Source organism: Homo sapiens, chromosome 7 (genome assembly GCF_000001405.40).
Source record: "Homo sapiens chromosome 7, GRCh38.p14 Primary Assembly".
NCBI classification, from domain to species: domain Eukaryota; kingdom Metazoa; phylum Chordata; class Mammalia; order Primates; family Hominidae; genus Homo; species Homo sapiens.
In genome coordinates this window covers 99,500,350-99,518,547 of record NC_000007.14, presented here as the reverse complement: position 1 = coordinate 99,518,547, position 18,198 = coordinate 99,500,350, and the positions used below count along the sequence as shown (strand labels likewise).

Below are 18,198 nucleotides of genomic sequence, written 5' to 3'. Positions count from 1 at the left end.
AAATCACCTACATCCCCTAGGGGATCTTGGTACTTGCAGATTCTGACTCAAAAGGCCTGGGGTGAGGCCTGAGAGTTTGCATTTCTTTTTCATTTTTTAATTTAATTAAAAAAAATTTTTTTTTTTGGAGACAGAGTCTCGCTCTGTGGCCCAGGCTAGAGTGCAGTGGCGCGATCTCAGCTCACTGCAACCTCCGCCTCCTGGGTTCAAGCAATTCTCCTGCCTCAGCCTCCCGAGTAGCTAGGATTACAGGTGTGCACCACCAAGCTTGGCTAATTTTTGTAGTTTTAGTAGTGACAGGGTGTCACCACGTTGTCCAGGATCGTCTCAAACTCCGGTGATTCACCTGCAATGGCCTCCCAAAGTGCTGGGATTACAGGTGTGAGCCACTGTGCCTGGCCCCTAGTTTGCACTTCTAATAAGCTCCCAGGTAATGCCAGTGCCACGGCTTCCTGGACCACTCTTGGATTACCACAGCCTCAGAAATCCCTTCCAGAATTTCCATGGTTAGTTTCTATTCAGTCAAGAAATATGTATTAAATCTATTCTCTCTCTCTCTGCCCATCTCAGGAATAGACAAAACAATTCTTACCTTGGAAAAGTACTGTCTAATGCAAGCTTGCCCAACCCACGGCCCGTGGCCCAGGATGGCTTTGAATGTGCCCCAACACAAATTTGTAAACTTTCTTTTTTTTTTTTTTGAGACAAGGTCTCACTCTGTCACCCAGGCTGGAGTACAGTGGTGCAATCTCAGCTCACTGCAACCTCCGCCTCCCAGGTTCAAGTGATTCTCCTGCCTCAGCCTCCCAAGTAGCTGGGATTACAGGCGCCCACCACCACACCCGGCTAATTTTGTTTTGTTTTTTTGAGATGGAGTCTCGCTCTGTTGCCCAGGCTGAAGTGTAGTGATACAATCTTGGCCAACTGCAACCTCCGCCTCCCAGGTTCAAGAGAGTCTCCTGCCTCAGCTTCCTGAGTAGCTGGGATTACAGGCATGTGCCACCATGCCTGACTAATTTTTGTATTTTTAGTAGAGACGGGATTTCGCCATGTTGGCCAGGCTGGTCTTGAACTCCTGGTCTCAACTGATCCACCTGGTTCGGCCTCCTAAAGTGCTGGGATTACAGGTGTGAGCCACCATGCCTGGCCCACAAATTTGTAAAGTTTCTTAAAACATTATGAAGGGCCAGGCACAGTGGCTCACGCCTGTAATCCCAGCACTTTGGGAGGCTGATGAGGGTGGATCACCCGAGGCTGGGAGTACAAGACCAGCCTGACCAACGTGGAGAAACCCCATCTCTACTAAAAATACAAAATTAGCTGAGTGTGTGGCACATGCCTATAATCCCAGCTACTTGGGAGACTGAAGCAGAAGAATCGCTTGAACCTGGGAGGCAGAGGTTGCGCTGAACTGAGATCACGCCATTGCACTCCAGCCTGGGTAACAAGAGCAAAACTCCATCTCAAAGAAATAAACATGAGGGGTTTTTTTGCAATTTTTATTTTGTTTAAGCTCATCAGCTATGGTTAGTGTTTGTGTATTTTATGTGTGGCACAAGACAATTCTTCTTCCAGTGTGGCCCAGGAAAGCCAAAAGATTGGACACCCCTTGGTCTAATGGGAAGGGCACACAGGTAAGCCTTACAGCACAGCGTGAAGAGTGCCATGACGAAAGGTGACCCAAGTTCCCGTGGGACCATAGAGGCAGGAGCACTTACAGAGTGGAGCAGGAGACGCAGCAGCAGCAGCAAAGCCTTTTCCCAGAAAGTGACTCTGGGCAGTAGGAATGGAGATCGGGGAGACAGGGTGCTTTCCCCACAGCAGGAACAGCATGCGCAACACCCGGACATCTCACCTCTGGAAGCTAGGGACCACCTGACCCCGAGGTCACCTCTGCTTGCTCTTTGTCTAAGGTCCACAGCATGTCTGGATCTCACCATCCACATGTGCCTTGACTTGCACAGACCTGCCTGGGATTAAGCTGTAACCGGATAGTTTAGACCCTGTTGGTATTTAGATCTGGAGTCCTGGAGATCTGGGGGCATCCGTGGCTTGCTGATTTCCAATGACTAGGAAATAAGGAGCAATGACACAAAAAGGACGGGACAATGGTTACAGATGAAAGCCAAAAGCAGAGAAGGGATCTGAAACCGGGAGTGGCTAAAGACTGAAAACAGAAGTTGATGAAAATGGTGAATACAGTCTATGTCCGAATGAAGAGTAATTTTGCTAAAATAAACCGGCTAGGATCTGGTTAACAGGGCAGAGAGGATGAGAAGCAGCTAGAAACAGAGGACAAGAGCCAGATGGAGAGAAACCCTGAAAGTGGACAGAACCCAAGTGACTCGAGGAGGGAGCAGTCTGTGCCTAGGAGAGAAGCTGCTGCTGAAGCAAAGACCAGATGTGGCCAGGCGTGGTGGCACATGCCTGTAAACCCAGCTACTCGGGAGGCTGAGGCAGGAGAGTCGCTTGAACCTGGGAGGCAGAGGTTGCAGTCACGCCACTACACTCCAGCCTAGGCAACAGAGTGAGACCCTGTCTCAAAAAAAAAAAAGCAAAGATGAGATGGCTCAGAAGAGGGGAGGAGGATGGATTCAGTCAGGCTGCTTGGGTTCAAATCCTAGCTCTGTTATTCCATATCTTTGTGACCTTGGACAAATCAACTTAACCTCTCGAGGACTCAGCTTAATTTCTTTCTTTTTTTTTTTTTTTTTGAGATGGAGTCTTGCTTTGTCGCCCAGGCTGGAGTGCAGTGGTACGATCTCTGCTCACTGCAACCTCCATCTCCTGGACTCAAGTGATTCTCCTGCCTCAGACTCCCAAGGAGCAGTACTACAGGCGCCTGCCACCATGCCCAGCTAATTTTGGTATTTCTTAGTAGAGATGGGGTTTCACCATGTTGGCCAGGCTGGTCTCAAACTCCTGACCTCAGGTGATCCACCCGCCTTGGCTTCCCAAAGTGCTGGGATTATAGGCATGAGCCACCAGGCCCAGCCCTGAGCTTAATTTCTAACAGAAGGATAACAGTAACAGCTATTCCACTGAGCTACTGGAAGGATTACCTGTTGGCATACCCAGGTGTCCTGCACACAATCCTAGTGGTTTCCATTTCTTTTCTGAGCAGTTTTTGTTTTTTTTTTTGAGACAGAGTCTCACTCTGTTGCCCAGGCTGGAGTGCCGTGGCACAATCTCGGTTCACAGCAACCTCTGCCTCCCGTGTTCAAGCCATTCTCCTGTCTCAGCCTCCCAAGTAGCTGGGATTACAGGCATGTACCACCACGCCTGGATAATTGTTGCATATTTTTAGTAGAGACGGGGTTTCACCACGTTGACCAGGCTGGTCTCAAACTCCTGACCTCAGGTGATCCACCCACCTCAGCCTCCCAAAGTGCTGGGATTACAAGCGTGAGCCACCACCCCTGGCTTTTCTGAGCAGCTTTAAATTTTATTTTTATTTTTATTTTTTATGGAGACAGAGTCTCAGTCTGGCTCCCAAGCTGGACTGCAGTGGCACAATCACAGCTCACTGCAGCCTCGAATTCCTGGGCTCGAGCAATCTCCCACCTCAGCCTCTGGTATAGCCGGGACCACAGGCGTGTGCCACCATGCCTAGCTAATACATTTTTTTTTTTTTTTGAGACAGAGTTTTGCTCTTGTCACCCAGGCTGGAGTGCAGTGGTGCGATCTCAGCTCACTGCAACCTCCAACTCCCGGGTTCAAGCAATTCTCCTGACTCAGCCTCCTGAGTAGCTACTAGGATTACAGGCATCTGCCACCACGCCCGGCTAATTTTTTATATTTTTAGTAGAGATGGGGTTTTGCCATGTTGGTCAGGCTGGTCTCAAATTCCTGACCTCAGGTGATCTGCCCGCCTTGGCCTCCCAAAGTGCTGGGATTACAGGCATGAGCCACTGCACACGGCCAATTTTTGTATTTTTTGTAGAGGTGAGTTTTCGCCACATTGCCCAGGATGGTATCAAACTCCTGGGCTCAAGAGATCCACCTGCTTTGGCCTCCAAAAATGCTGGAATTACAGGCATGAAGCTACTTTCTTTTATACCAAAAAGATCGCTAACACCTTTGTTTAGCTTTCATTGAACACGGTTGAGAATTCCAAATTTTTCATTTGCTGCCCACATTGGCAAAGAGAGGAAAATTTGAAGAGGATGACTATTATTAGGCAACTCAGTAGATGACACAGAAAGACAGCTGTACTCTCTAATGAGAATCATGAAACTGAAAGTGTAACAGAGATTCTAGAATGAGTTTCAAATGATAACATCCTAGATAAATTTTCTTAAACTCAAGAATCAATGATGAACAATGTATTTCTAATTTCAAAAAGGGAAATGGCATTCTTATCTTGTGAGTCATTCAACAGCAAGGACTTCATCACACAGTATTTTGTAATAATAAGATAATAAGAGATTCTGGACCATCACATTTTGCTAGAAGGACTAAATTTGCTAAAAGCATTGTGTGACAGTATTCTTTTCTTTTTTGAGACGGAGTTTTGCTCTTGTTGCCCAGGCTGGAGTCCAGTGCCACGGTCTCAGCTCACTGCAACCTTTGCCTCCTGGGTTCAAACGATTCTCATGCCTCAGCCTCCTGAGTAGCTGGGATTACAGGCACGCACCACCATGCCCAGCTAATTTTTTGTATTTTTAGTAGAGACGGTGTTTCATCATGACGGGGTTTCATCATGTTGGCCAGGCTGGTCTTGAACTCCTGACCTCAGGTGATCCACCCACCTTTGCCTCCCAAAGTGCAGGGATTACAAGTGTGAGCCACTGAGCCCGGCCTTGTTTTTTTGTTTTTTTAACATAAGCATTAAGACAAGAAAATCTATGAGGGAGGCTGAGCGCAGTGGCTCACACCTCTAATGCCAGCACTTTGGCAGGACAAGGTAGGTGATCACTTGAGGCCAGGAGTTCAAGACTAGCTTGGCTAACATGGTGAAACCCCATCTTTACTAAAAATCCAAAAATTAGCTGGGCATGGTGGCAGGCACCTGTAGTCCCAGCTACTCAGGAGGCTGAGGTGGAGGTATCACTTGAACCTGGGAGGCAGAGGCTGCAGTGAGCCAAGATCGCACCACTGCCCTCCATCCCAGGCAACAGGGTGAGACTCTGTCTCAAAAATAAAAGAAAGACAATCTATGACAGAAAGGCAAAAATCTGTGATACTTTTGTAAAAGACGTGTAGATCTTTTAACAGTCCCTGTACCCAGAGCTGTCATCATTTGCGTTGTAGGTTTTTAATGAAACTGGTGTAATTCAGCAATAAACATACGTGTGCATGTGTCTTTCCCAAATGTCCAACAATGATAGACTGGATTAAGAAAATGTGGCAGTACACCATGGAATACTGTGCAGCCATAAAAAATGATGAGTTCATGTCCTTTGTAGGGACATGGATGAAATTGGAAACCATCATTTTCAGTAAACTATCGCAAGAACAAAAAACCAAACACCGCATATTCTCACTCATAGGTGGGAACTGAACAATGAGAACACATGGACACAGGAAGGGGAACATCACACTCTGGGGACTGTTGTGGGGTGGGGGGAGGGGGGAGGGATAGCATTGGGAGATATACCTAATGCTAGATGACGAGTTAGTGGGTGCAGCACACAAGCATGGCACATGTATACATATGTAACTAACCTGCACATTGTGCACATGTACCCTACAACTTAAAGTATAATAATAATAAATAAATAAATAAATAAAAGAAAAAAAAAGAAGCTGGTGTAATTCCTAGCCATTCTAGGAATGGCTTTCATTGAACACCAGGGACTCAACTCCAGGTCCCTGGCCTTTCCCTGCTTCTAGACCCTGCAGGCTGTAGAGAGGCTGCTCAGCCTAGAGTCTCTCTCCCGCAGATAGTGCCTGCCACATGGCCAAGGCACCCACTCTTGAGCTATATCAGTTCCACTGAATCACTGAGCCTCACCATTTTCCTCCAGGAGACGAGGCTTCTGTGGCGCTTGCTCAGGCTGGGTGTCCACGGTCAGGGGATGGGGGCTGCAGGACTCCTGCACTGCTCCAGGTGTTGCCATCTTCCGAGGAAGCACATCAGGGCAGGCAACAATCTAACAACCACAACCAAAACCGATCAGTACAGTTACAGAGAAGGCCACGAAAGAAATCAGTAGAATCATGGTGGACTTTCATTCATTCCTTTGCCAAATATTTAATGTGCATCTACAATGAGCCACGCACTGATTATGCAGTTACTTAATAAACATGGTTTACTTCTAGTTGGAGAAGACGTTCATCAAACACATCAAAACACAAATAAATACATAATTACAAACTGGGCTGTATGTTGGAAAGGAGAAGAAACTAATTCCATGAGACAGAACACAGGAGACCTATTTTAGACTGGGAGGCCAGGGAAGGCTTTCTGGAGGAAGTGTCCCGTAAGCAAACACTTAAAGGTTGAGAAGGGCTGGGCGCACGGGGTGGCTCACGCCTGTAATCCCAGCACTTTGGGAGGCTGAGGCAGGTGGATCACTAGGTCAGAAGATCAAGACCAATCTGGCTAACACGGTGAAACCCCGTCTCTACTAAAAAAATACAAAAAAATTAGCCGGGTGTGGTGGTGGGCGCCTGTAGTCCCAGCTACTCAGGAGGCTGAGGCAGGAGAATGGCATGAACCTGGGAGGCGGAGCTTGCAGTGAGCCGAGATTGCGCCACTGCACTCTAGCCTGGGTGACAGAGCGAGACTCCGTCTCAAAAAAAAAAAATGGATGAGAAGAAGCCAGCCGGGAAAAACGTAGAAGTGACCCAGGCAGAGAGAACACTGAAACGGTAGCTCATGCCTATAATCTCAACACTTTCGGAGGCTGAAGCAGGAGGATCGCTTGAGCCCAGGAGTTCAAGACAAGCCTGGGCAACACAGTGAGACCCTGTCTCTCCAAAAAATTAAAAAATTAGCCAGGCATGGTGGCATGTCCCTGTGGTCCCAGCTACTTAGGAGGCTGAGGTGCGAGGATCGCTTGAGCCCAGGAGGTCAAGGCTGCAGTGAGCTATGACACACCACTGCACTCTAGCCTTGGTGACAGAGCAAGACCCTGTCTCAAAAAAGAAAGAAAGAAAGAAAGAAAACAAAATTCTCAGGCAGAAAGAGGATGTCTAGTACAGTCAGGAATCATGAGAAGGCCAGTGTGTGAAGAGGAAACAGAGGTGAGAAGGGAGATTGGAATGGTCATCATAGCACTCAGTAAGTCACACTGGACAGACCAACACTGAGACTGAGGCTACCTCACACCCCTTCTGTTTTTGGTTCTTGCTCAGCCCTAGATATACACAATTACTCTGCCACAACCACTCTCTAGAACCTGGAATTCTGGAAGGTACTAGCTCACTACTAACATATTGGAATGTAGTAAGTTCCTTTCCCCTTTTCTCCCTCCCTTACATTTCAAAGCACTTTTTTTTCGAATCCTCCTGCTACTGGCAAAATGTGGTGCAGGAGTTCCATTAAGAGACAGCTGCAGGCCGGGCATGATGGCTCATGCCTATAATCCCAACACATTGGGAGGCAGAAGCGGGTGGATGACTTGAGCTCAGGAGTTGGAGACCAGCTTGGGCAACATGGCGAGACCACACCTCTACTAAAAATATAAAAATTAGCCAGGCCTGGTAGCATACATCTATATAGTCCCAGCTACTCGGGAGGCTGAGGTGGGGAGGATCGCTTGAGCCTGGGAGGCGGAGAGTGCAGTGAGCTGAGATTGCACCAATGCTCCAGCCTGGGTGACAGAGCAAGATTCTGTCTCAAAAAAATAAATAAATAGGCCAGGCGCAGTGGCTCATGCCTGTAATCCCAGTACTTTGGGGGGCCGAGGCGGGCAGATCACCTGAGGTCAGGAGTTCGAGACCAGCCTGACCAACATGGATAAACCCCATCTCTACCAAAAATACAAAGTTAGCCTGGTGTGGTGGTACATGCCAGTAATCCCAGCTACTCGGGAGGCTGAGGCAGGAGAATCGCTTGAACCCGGGAGGTGGAGGTTGCAGTGAGCCGAGATCGTGCCATTGCACTCCAGCCTAGGCAACAAGAGTGAAACTCCATCTCAAAAAAAAATATTAAATTAAATAAATAAAAATAAAAAATAAACAAAATCCATTAACCATAAAATGAAATACTTAACTAACTGTATAAAAATTTTAAAACCTTCAGGAGACTGACGCAGGAGAATCAACCCGGAGGCAGAGGTTGCAGTAAGCCAAGATCAGGCCACTGCACTCCAGCCTGGGTGGCAGAGCCAGACTCCGTCTTAAAAAAAAAAAAAATTTAAAACCTGGCTGGGCACAGTGGCTCACACCTGTAACCCCAGCACCTTGGGAGGCCAACGCAGGAGGATCCCTTGAGCCCAGGAGTTCCAGACCAGGCTAGGCAACTAGGCAAGACCTCATCTACAAAAAAATTTTTGTTTAATTAGCTGTATGTGGTGGCAAGTGCCTGTAGTCCTAGCTACTCAAGAGGATCACTTGAGGCCAGGAGTTCGAGGCTGCAGTGAGCTATGATTGTGCCACTGCACTCCAGCCTGGACAACGGAGTGAGGCCCTATCTCTAAAAAAAGAAAACATGAAAAACAAAAACCTCCACAAGCGAACACAAACAACAAATTGGATAAATAACGCTTACAACTCCTATGACAGACACAATGCTTATTGTTTCCAAAAGGTAAAAAAATATAGATAAGGAATATAAACAGACAATTCACCACCATAAAAGGGTATACAAATAATCTTTAAAAATATATGCTGTGGCCGGGCACAGTGGCTTACACCTGTAATCCCAGCACTTTGGGAGGCCGAGGTGGGCAGATCACGAAGTCAGGATATCGAGACCATCCTGGCTAACACGGTGAAACCCCGACTCTACTAGAAATACAGGAAATTAGCCGGGCATGGTGGCGTGTGCCTGTAGTCCCAGCTACTTGGGAGGCTGAGGCAGGAGAATGGCATGAACCCGGGAGGTGGAGCTTGCAGTGAGCAGAGATCACGCCACTGCACTCCAGCCTAGGCAACAGAGTGAGACTCTGTCTCAAAAAAAAAAAAAAAGTGCTGTGGTCAAACAAAAGAAATTTAATTGAAATTTCACAGATATGGTCAGGCGTGGTGGCTCACACCTGCAATCCCAGCACTTTGGGAGGCCAAGGCAGGTGGATCACCTGAGGTCAGGAGTTTGAGAACATCCTGGCCAACATGGTGAAACACCATCTCTACTAAAAATACAAAAATTAAGCCGGGCATGTGGCTTACGCCTGTAATCCCACCACTTTGGAAGGCAGAGCCAGGAGTATCACCTGAGGTCAGGAGTTTAAGACCAGCCTGGCCAACATGGCGAAACCCTGTCTCTACTAAAAATACAAAAATTAGCTGGGCATGGTGGTGCATGTCTGTAATCCCAGCTACTCGGGAGGCTGAGGCAGGAGAATCACTTGAACCCAGGAAGCTGAGGTTGCAGTGAGACAAGATCGCACCACTGCACTCCAGCCTGGGTGACAGAGTGAGACTCCACCTCAAAAAAATAAAAATAAAAAAACTAAAAAAATTAGCCAGGCGGTAGTGGCACATGCCTGTAATCCCAGCCACTTGGGAGGCTGAAGCAAGAGAATTGCTTGAGCCTGGGAGGTGGAGGGTAAGCCAAAATTGCACCATTGCACTACAGTCTGGGTGACAGAGTAAGACCTTGTCTCCAAAAAAAAAAAAAAAGAAAGAAAGAAAGAAAGAAAGAAAAATTTCACAGAAATAAAATATTGTATCTTTTTTTTTTTTTTTGAGATGGGAGTCTCGCTCCATCGCCCAGGCTGGAGTGCAGTGGCGCAATCTCGGCTCACTGCAACCTCTGCCTCCCAAGTTCAAGCGATTCTACTGCCTCAGCCTCCCAAGTAGCTGAGACTACAGGTGCATGCCACCACACCCAGCTAATTTTTGTATTTTTAGTAGAGACGGGGTTTCACCATGTTGGCCCGGATGGTCTTGATCTGACCCCATGATCCACCCGCCTCAGCCTCCCAAAGTGCTGGGATTACAGGCGTGAGTCACCATGCCCGGCCAATATTGCATCTTATGTACTGGCAATCATGACCAATTTTGATAACATTGTTCTACCAGGCTATGGCCACAAAATTTCTCTCATACATTGTTGGTGGTACTCTAAATTGTTATACCCTCTATGAGGGAACCAACCTGTCAACAGCTATCAAAATTACAAATGTACTTTTTTTTTTGAGATGGAGTCTCGCTCTGTTGCCAGGCTGGAGTGCAGTGGCACAATCTCGGCTCACTGCAACCTCCGACTCCCAGGTTCAAGCGATTCTCCTGCCTCAGCCTCCCGAGTGCCTGGGATTACAGGTGCGTGCCACCACGCCCGGCTAATTTTTGTATTTTTTAGTAGAGATGGGGTTTCACCATGTTGGCCAGGATGGTCTCGATCTTCTGACCTCATGAACTGCCCACCTCGGCCTCCCCAAGTGCTGGGATTACAGGCATGAGCTACCGTGCCCGGCCTACACATGTATTTCTAAGCCAACAATTTTGAGTTTCAAGCATTCCTTCTACAGTTAATTTTATATACATATATTTTTTCAATTTAAATTTTTTTAACTTTTTACTTTTTTTTGAAATAGGGTATGCCTCTGTCACACAGGCTGGAATACAGTGGCAAAATCACAGCTCACTGCAGCCTCAAACTACCAGGTTCAAGGGATCCTGCTGCCTCAGCCTCTTGAGTAGCTGGAAGTATAAGTGCATGCCACCACACCCAGCTAATTTTTTGTTTGGTTTTTCTGGTAGAGATGGGGTCTCGCTATGCTACCCAGGCTGATGTGGAACTCCTGGTCTTAAGTGATCCTCCCACCTCAGGTGCCCAAAATGCTGGGATTACAGGTGTGAGCCACTGCGCCCAGCCTATATATATACATATATATATACACACACACATAAATATACACATATATATACACATATATATACATATATATACATATATATATACACATATACATATATACACACATATATATACACATATATACATATATACACATATATACACATATATACGCATATATATACATATATACGCAAACACATACATTATGTATATTACATACACACATATATACAGACATATATGTGAGATAGTCATTGCAGCAAAGTTTGTTATAATACAAATTTAGAAACAATCTCAAGGAACAATTTAAATGGAACAACTCAAACTCCTTCCATAAAAGTTAATACAATGCAATTTCAGAGAGTGAGATAGCTGCAATGGCAGTGGCGTGGAAGAAACCAAGATATAAGAAAAAAGAGGCAGAAGTGCACAGTGACTTAAAAGACATTTGCGTTTTTCCAAAGTATGAGACGTATATATGCTTATACATACAGAATATGGTACAGCTCTGTAAGAATACACAGGTGAGAACTAGGCAGTTGAGAGAAATTGGGGATGGGAGGAAAACTTACTTTTCATTACAACCTTATGTACCTCTTTGAATTTTGTATCATGTCACTCAAAAAATAAATACAGTGGCCGGGCATGGTGGCTCACGCCTGTAATCCCAGCACTTTGGGAAGCCGAGGTGGGAGGATCACGAGGTCAGGAGATCGAGACCATCCTGGCTAACACGGTGAAACCCCGTCTCTACTAAAAATACAAAAAAAAAAAAAAAAAAAATTAGCCGGGCCTGGTGGCGGACGCCTGCAGTCCCAGCTACTCCGGAGGCTGAGGCAGGAGAATGGCGTGAACCCGGGAGGCGGAGCTTGCAGTGAGCCGAGATCGCACCACTGCACTCCAGCATAGGCGACAGAGCGAGACTCCGTCTCAAAAATAAATAATTAAATAAATACAGTAATTTAAAAAATAAATAAGATCGCAGATTGTCTTCTACAGGTTAACACACTGGATATTGCTTCTCTTTGCTGGAGTGGCAGGAAGTCACAGGGTACCTAATCCCAGGAGAACAAAAGAATATGAATGAAGCAGCAGAGGACTAAGAATCTCACCCCTGCTCAGCAGATGGTTCACTCCTCTCCTTCATTGCTCATATAGCTTCTCTTTGACTCACCTGCTGTCTGCGTTCCTCAAGTTCTCGCTGTATATTTTCTATCACGGCCACCGCCTCTTCTCCACTTTCAGGGTGATGTTCCCTCACCCAGGGCTGGAACTCTTCAGGCAGGATGGTCAGGAACTGCTCCAGCACCAGCAGCTCCAGGATCTGCTCCTTCGTGTGCAGCTCGGGCCTCAGCCACTCACAGCAGAGCACCCGGAGTTGGCTGAGAGCCTCCCGGGGTCCTGAAGCCTCATGGTACTGGAAGTGCCTGAAGCGCTGGTAAAAAGTCTCAAACGTTGGCGGGTTGTACTCCTGCATCCAGGTGCAGTCTTCTTCTTCCACCTTCACTATGAAAAGGTCTTCCTGCTCCTGGGAAGTCTCAGCTGGGGGGTCTAAGTCTATAACTTCTCGGGATTCGGTCATTATCATTCCAACTCAGAGGGAAGTCTTCGAGGCTGGCTGTGTTACACTGAAACAATTGTTTTTCTGCTCTTTAATATCTTCTGAAGGACACTTTCAGTAGCATGCAACCTACTGATGTATTGGGCATCATTATTAGCAAAGACAGATGGCAAAGAGGTCATCTATACTAAAGACGACCACTCAACAAAGTAATTTACTTAAAAATAGGTACTACAAGGTAGCCATCACTTCACCCACAAAATGATAATAAGGAATAACCCCAACATTTTAAAAGTGTAAAAGAGAGCCATACAAATCTGACATCAGGCCCAACCTAAAACACAGTTTTAGAGTGAAGAACTTTACATTCCATATAAATAACGGGACGAGACTAACTAGTCCAGACGCAGCCGCTCTTTCTCTCTACCATAAGACGAACTTAAGTCGGAATAAGGGTGAAAATCATTATAATGGTCAAAACTGAGCCTGTTCTCTAAGCTACAAGAGCTTGACAGGCCAAGGGGAGACTCCATCGGTCCCAAAGAGAAGCAGCGTTTATAAGGTACAGATCTGGACCTGGATTCCTCAGAATGGCCCCTGACCCCGAGATACAGAGACTGTGGCCCGGTCAAGGTTAGGGACAGGACCCCCGTCCAGTCACGAAGCCCCTGCCCCCTCCCCTCAAGGCCCCACTCTAGGGGAGCTCTCCTGGAACATCAAGCTCCCCGCAGCCGAGGCTGGGAAGATGCGGTTCTTCCCACGGAGAGAAACCGAAGCCGACACTCCCCAACACTTCCTCGCCGGAAGTAACCAAGTCCAATCTTGCCCTGTCCAACGGGGTTAAACCGTTAGATCCCACCCCCCCCCGAAAGCACTTCCGCGTCCTCTCTAGGAATCCCGGAGGACCTCACCTCGCACGGGGGGCGGACCAATCGGCGGGGAGATGGGACGCGGGCCCCGAGTCCCAGCCCACCCTCAGTGACTCGGACGTCTCCAGGGCCCCCGAAGCCGCTCGCACAGCATCACCAAAGCGGGGAGGCAAACGGAGCCACTCTCTCCCCTGCTCCATCCCAAAGCCATTCAAACAGCCCAAGCTCCTCCCCTTTCCGTGGGGCGGGGAAGGGGGCGGGGCCTCCAGAGTTGGGCTGAGGTTGCTCGTGTCTGATTGGCCGGGGAGCTTGCGCCTTCCCCCACCCCCAACGCTCTGCGCCCCGATTTGAAGTAGGTCTGTACCTTGCTGACAGCCCGCAAACCTCGCTTATGTTGAATTTGGGGCCCTTAGGTTTTCTTCACCCGCATCCTCGCTACTCTCACCACCCACTTTCCAAACAAACCCACCTCTTGACCACCGCAGTCGGCTCAGAAGGCCGACATCTTCAACGTCACACCCGCGAGTCGCAGGGGCCAGCTGTTCCCGGAACTACATCTCCCAGGAGGTGGCGCGCGGGACTCGCCGGTTGGCCAATGGGGGGCGGCTCTCTTTGCAGCCTCGGTCTCGCGAGCCTATCAGAAGGTGGCAGGGCCCGGAGTCGTGTCCTCGGGAGCCAAGGCTGGAAGGCTGGGAGTGGGCGGAGGGAGCGGGGCATCCCTTTGAAGAGAGGGGCGTTGCTTACGCAGGGCTTCCCTGGCCAAGGGGGTCTCGTCCTTAATGATACCTCTCTTCAGCCAGGCGCGGGGTCCCACGCTTGTAAGCCTAGCTAGTGGACAGGCTGAAGAAGCAGGATCGCTTGAGCCCAAGAGTTCGAGACCAGCTCGGGCAACATAGCGAGACCCCTGTCTATTAGAAATACCCTCCCTTGGCCGGGCTCGGTGACTCACACCTGTAATGCCAGCACTTTGGGAGGCCGAGGTGGGTGGATCACCTGAGGCCAGGAGTTCGAGACCAGCCTGGCCAACATGGTGAAACCCCGTCTCTACTAAAAATACAAAAACTTAGCTGGGCGTGGTGGCGCGAGCCTGTAATCTCAGCCACTTGGGAGGCTGAGGCAGGAGAATCACTTGGACCCGGGAGGCTGAGGATGCAGTGAGCCGGGATCGCACCATTGCACTCCAGCCTGGGCAACATAGTGAGACCCCATCTCTTAGTAATAATCTCCCGTTTTTGTTTTGTTTTGTTTTGTTTTTTGAGACGGAGTCTCGTTGTCCCCCAGGCTGGAGTGCAATGGCACGATCTCGGCTCACTGTAACCTCTGCTCCCAGGTTCGGGCAATTCTCCTGCCTCAGCCTTTCGAGTAGCTGGGATTACAGGCACACTCACCACGCCCGGCTTATTTTGTATTTTTAGTAGAGACGGGGTTTCCCCATGTTGGCCAGGCTGGTCTCGAACTCCTGACCTCAGGTGATGCGCCCGCATCGACCTCCCAGTGCTCTCCTTTTCATATGGTGCTTTATAGTTTCCAGGCCCCAGCCCTCCCCTCCCCCTACGCCCCGCGCAGTTTACAAAGTTGATGGGCAGGCAGGAGAAGAGTTACTGTTGCCACTGTTTTACAGGCGCGAAGGAAGGAACTGCTGTGAAATTGCAGCATCTGCAAAAAGATGAGAAGATATTTAGAAGTTAAAGGTCTCTTTTCAGGGAGCCCAAAATCTTGCATTTTAAGTAGCTTCCTATCTAGGACCAAACCCCCGGTGAATGTTTGCAATGCCCGTATTTTGTGTGTTAGTGAGTTGGTATAGAATTTTGCACCTATGGCTTAATTTTGTTGCTCGTATAAAGTTGTTTAATGTCTATGAAAGTTGTTCCAGATGGGCATGGTGGCTCACGCCTGTAATCCCAACATTTTGGGAGGCCGAGGTGAGAGGATCACTAGAATCCAGGAGTTGAAGACCAGCCTGGCCTTTTTACCCCGTCTCTACAAAAAATAAAATAAAATTAGCTAGGCATGGTGGCACATGCCTATAGTCTCAGCTACTCAGCAGGCTGAGACTGGAGGATCACTTGAATTCAAGAGGTTGAGGCTGCAGTGAGTTATGATTGTGCCATTGCACTTCAGCACCTCAGTGACAGAGACACCCCGTCTCAAAAAAAAAAATGTTTGGTGGATACCCATTCTTTTCTAATATATTTACCTCCATTTAAATGATTTATTTATTTGTTTGTTTATCTATTTATTTTTTTGAGACGGAATCTCACTCTGTCGCCCAGGCTGGAGTGCCGTGGCATGATCTCGGCTCACTGCAACCTCCGCCTCCCGGGTTCAAGCGATTCTCCTGCCTCAGCCTCCTGAGTAGCTGGGATTACAGGTGTGTGCCACCACACCTGGATAACTTTTTGTATTTTTAGTAGAGATGGGGTTTCACCGTGTTACCCAGGATGGTCTCCATCTCCTGACCTCGTGATCTGCCTGCTTCGGCCTCCCAAAGTGCTGGGATTACAGGCGTGAGCCACCGCAACCGGTTTGAATTATTTATAAACACCTTTTGCATTTCAATAATTTATTTCTTAAATAGATAACACATTTGCATGAGTCAAAATTCAATAAGGCACTTAAGGTCTTCCTCTCATTCTCATTCTACATTCATTTTTCTCTCTAGAGATAGCCAAGATGACTAGTTTCCTTTTTTTTTTTTTTTTTTTTTTTTTTTGAGATGGTTTTGCTGGTTGCCTAGGCTGGAGTGAATGGCACGATCTTGGCTTAGTGAACCTCTGCCTCCTGGGTTCAAGTGATTCTCCTGCCTCAGCCTCCCGAGTAGCTGCGATTACAGGCATGCGCCACCATGCCCGGCTAATTTTGTATTTTTTAGTAGAGACGAAGTTTCTCCATGTTGGTCAGGCTGGTCTTGAACTCCCGACCTCAGGTGATCCCCTCGCCTCGGCCTCCCAAAGTGCTGGGATTACAGGCGTGAGCCACCGCACCTGGCTCCATAAGAGATATTTTTATGTCTAGTTATTAAACACACCTGGATTGATAAATAGTGTTCGGTTTGTTTGGGCGTGGGGTGGGGAGGGGGATTGCTTGAACCCAGGAGGCAGAGGTTGCAGTGAGCCGAGGTCAGGAAATCAAGACCATCCTGGCTAACATGGTGAAACCCCGTCTCTACTAAAAATACAAAAAATTAGCTGGGTGTGGTGGCACGCGCCTGTAATCCCAGCTACTTGGGAGGCTGAGATAGGAGAATCGCTTGAACCCGAGCGATACTCCCTCTCAAAAAAAAATTTTTTTATTTTTATATGGAGACACATCCTCTCTATGTTGCTCAGGCTGGCCTGGAACTCCTGGTCTCAAGCGATCGTCTCATTTTATGCAAGTTGCAAATCACCAGCAGCTTGACATCAACCAAGACACTTTGTTTTAGAGACAGAGTCTTGCTCTGTCACCCAGGCTGGAGTGCACTGGTGCGATCATATCTCACTGCAGTCTTTACCTCCTGGGCTCAAAGGATCCTCCCACCTCAGCCTCCCAAGTAAGTGGTGTATCCTGAGTTGGTTCCTTCCAGTGGGTTCATCCTCTCGCTGACTTCAAGAATGCAGCCTCCGACCTTCACTGTGTTACAGCTCTTAAAGATGGCACGGACCCAAAGAGTGAGTAGCAGCAAGATTTATTGTGAAGAGCGAAAGAACAAACCTTCCACAGCATGGCAGAGCACTCCAGCCGGTTGCCTCCGCTGACTGGGGTGGGAGCTTTTAGTCTCTTATTTGTCCCCTCCCATGTCCGTTTCTGTCGTATCAGAACGCCCTTTTTTCCATCCTCCCTGCGATTGGCTGCTTTTAGAATCCTGCTGATTGGTCCATTTTACAGAGCGCTGATTGGTGCATTTTACAAACCTCTTGCTAGCTACAGAGCGCTGATTGGTGCATTTTTACAAACCTCTTGTAAGACAGAAAAGTTGTCCAAGTCCCCACTGGACCCAGGAAGTCCAACTAGCTTCACCTCTCACTGGGACTACAGGTGTGCACCACCACACCCAGCTAATTTTTTATTTTTTGTAGACATTGGGGTCTCCAATTCTTGGCTTCAAGCGATCTTCCCCCCTCAGCCTCCCAAAATGCTGGGATTACAGGCATACGCCACTGAGCCAGGCCAGGACACATCTTTGAGCCTCAATTTCCTCATCTTTTTTGTTTGTTTGTTAGGATCAAAGTCGTTAACATCTGATGTACATGGAAGCACTTAGTTTTAAAAAAAAAACAAAACTTTTTCCAACTGGGCGCAGCGGCTCACGCCTGTAATCCAGCACTTTGGGAGGCCGGGGCAGGCGGATCACGAGGTCAGGAGTTCCAGACCAGCCTGACCAACATGGTGAAACCCCATCTCTACTAAAATACAGAAAGTAGCCGGGCATGGTGGCGCGCGCCTGTAGTCCAAGCTACTCAGGAGGCTAAGACAGCCTGGCGACAGAGCGAGAGTCCGCCTGAAAAAAGAAAAAAAAACAACTTTGTCCAACCTGGGCAATATAATGAAACCCCATCCCCACAGAAAAATTAATAAACCGGGCGTGGTCGCGCGCACCTGTAGTCCTAGATACTTGGGAGGCTGAAGCTGGAGAATTGCTTGAACCCGGGAGACAGAAGTTGCAGTGAGCCGAAATCGCGCCACTGCAGTCCAGCCTGGGCGACAGAGCCAGACCCTGTCTATTTAATCCTGAAGGTTCCCGCCCTTGCCGGAGCTCGGCCACCGGCTCGGACGCCCGTATTTCCTCGGGATGCGGGAAACCGTCAAGACCCTCTGCGTCGGGCGGGGCTAGGACGATAAACCAGCGAGATGCACCTCACCCCATCAGGCGC

The 18,198-nt window shown here is 48.2% G+C and overlaps 1 protein-coding gene across 8 annotated transcripts in view, besides 4 other annotated features; it reads right to left on the bottom strand.

The window, feature by feature from the left end:
- The window catches only part of ZKSCAN5 (zinc finger with KRAB and SCAN domains 5), a 30,039-nt gene extending 16,153 nt beyond the window's left edge, over positions 1 to 13,886 (bottom strand). For 3 of the 8 annotated variants that reach the window (NM_145102.4, XM_017011921.3, NM_001318083.2), the window contains exons 1-3: positions 13,815 to 13,886; positions 12,090 to 12,543; positions 5,957 to 6,095 (exon numbers count right to left, since the gene is read on the bottom strand). In NM_145102.4, coding sequence (NP_659570.1) covers positions 5,957 to 6,095; positions 12,090 to 12,503 — 553 coding nt within the window. In that variant the 5' untranslated portion in view covers positions 12,504 to 12,543; positions 13,815 to 13,886. Of the gene's footprint in view, positions 1 to 5,956; positions 6,096 to 12,089; positions 12,606 to 13,387; positions 13,559 to 13,814 lie in introns of those variants that run through there. The other 5 variants (NM_014569.4, XM_017011922.2, XM_017011924.2 and 2 more) reach the window with 3 other exon arrangements.
- Positions 9,511 to 9,704: a silencer, noted in NCBI's record as "fragment chr7:99106467-99106660 (GRCh37/hg19 assembly coordinates)". NCBI's record gives its function as "represses an EF-1alpha promoter that drives an FKBP-Casp9 reporter gene in an ReSE screen in K562 erythroleukemia cells {active_cell/tissue: K562}" and the evidence as "EXISTENCE:reporter gene assay evidence [ECO:0000049][PMID:32094911]".
- Positions 13,220 to 13,299: an enhancer, noted in NCBI's record as "active region_26323". NCBI's record gives its function as "activates an Ori minimal core promoter by ATAC-STARR-seq in GM12878 lymphoblastoid cells {active_cell/tissue: GM12878}" and the evidence as "EXISTENCE:reporter gene assay evidence [ECO:0000049][PMID:35858748]".
- Positions 13,680 to 13,859: an enhancer, noted in NCBI's record as "active region_26322". NCBI's record gives its function as "activates an Ori minimal core promoter by ATAC-STARR-seq in GM12878 lymphoblastoid cells {active_cell/tissue: GM12878}" and the evidence as "EXISTENCE:reporter gene assay evidence [ECO:0000049][PMID:35858748]".
- Positions 14,250 to 14,299: an enhancer, noted in NCBI's record as "active region_26321". NCBI's record gives its function as "activates an Ori minimal core promoter by ATAC-STARR-seq in GM12878 lymphoblastoid cells {active_cell/tissue: GM12878}" and the evidence as "EXISTENCE:reporter gene assay evidence [ECO:0000049][PMID:35858748]".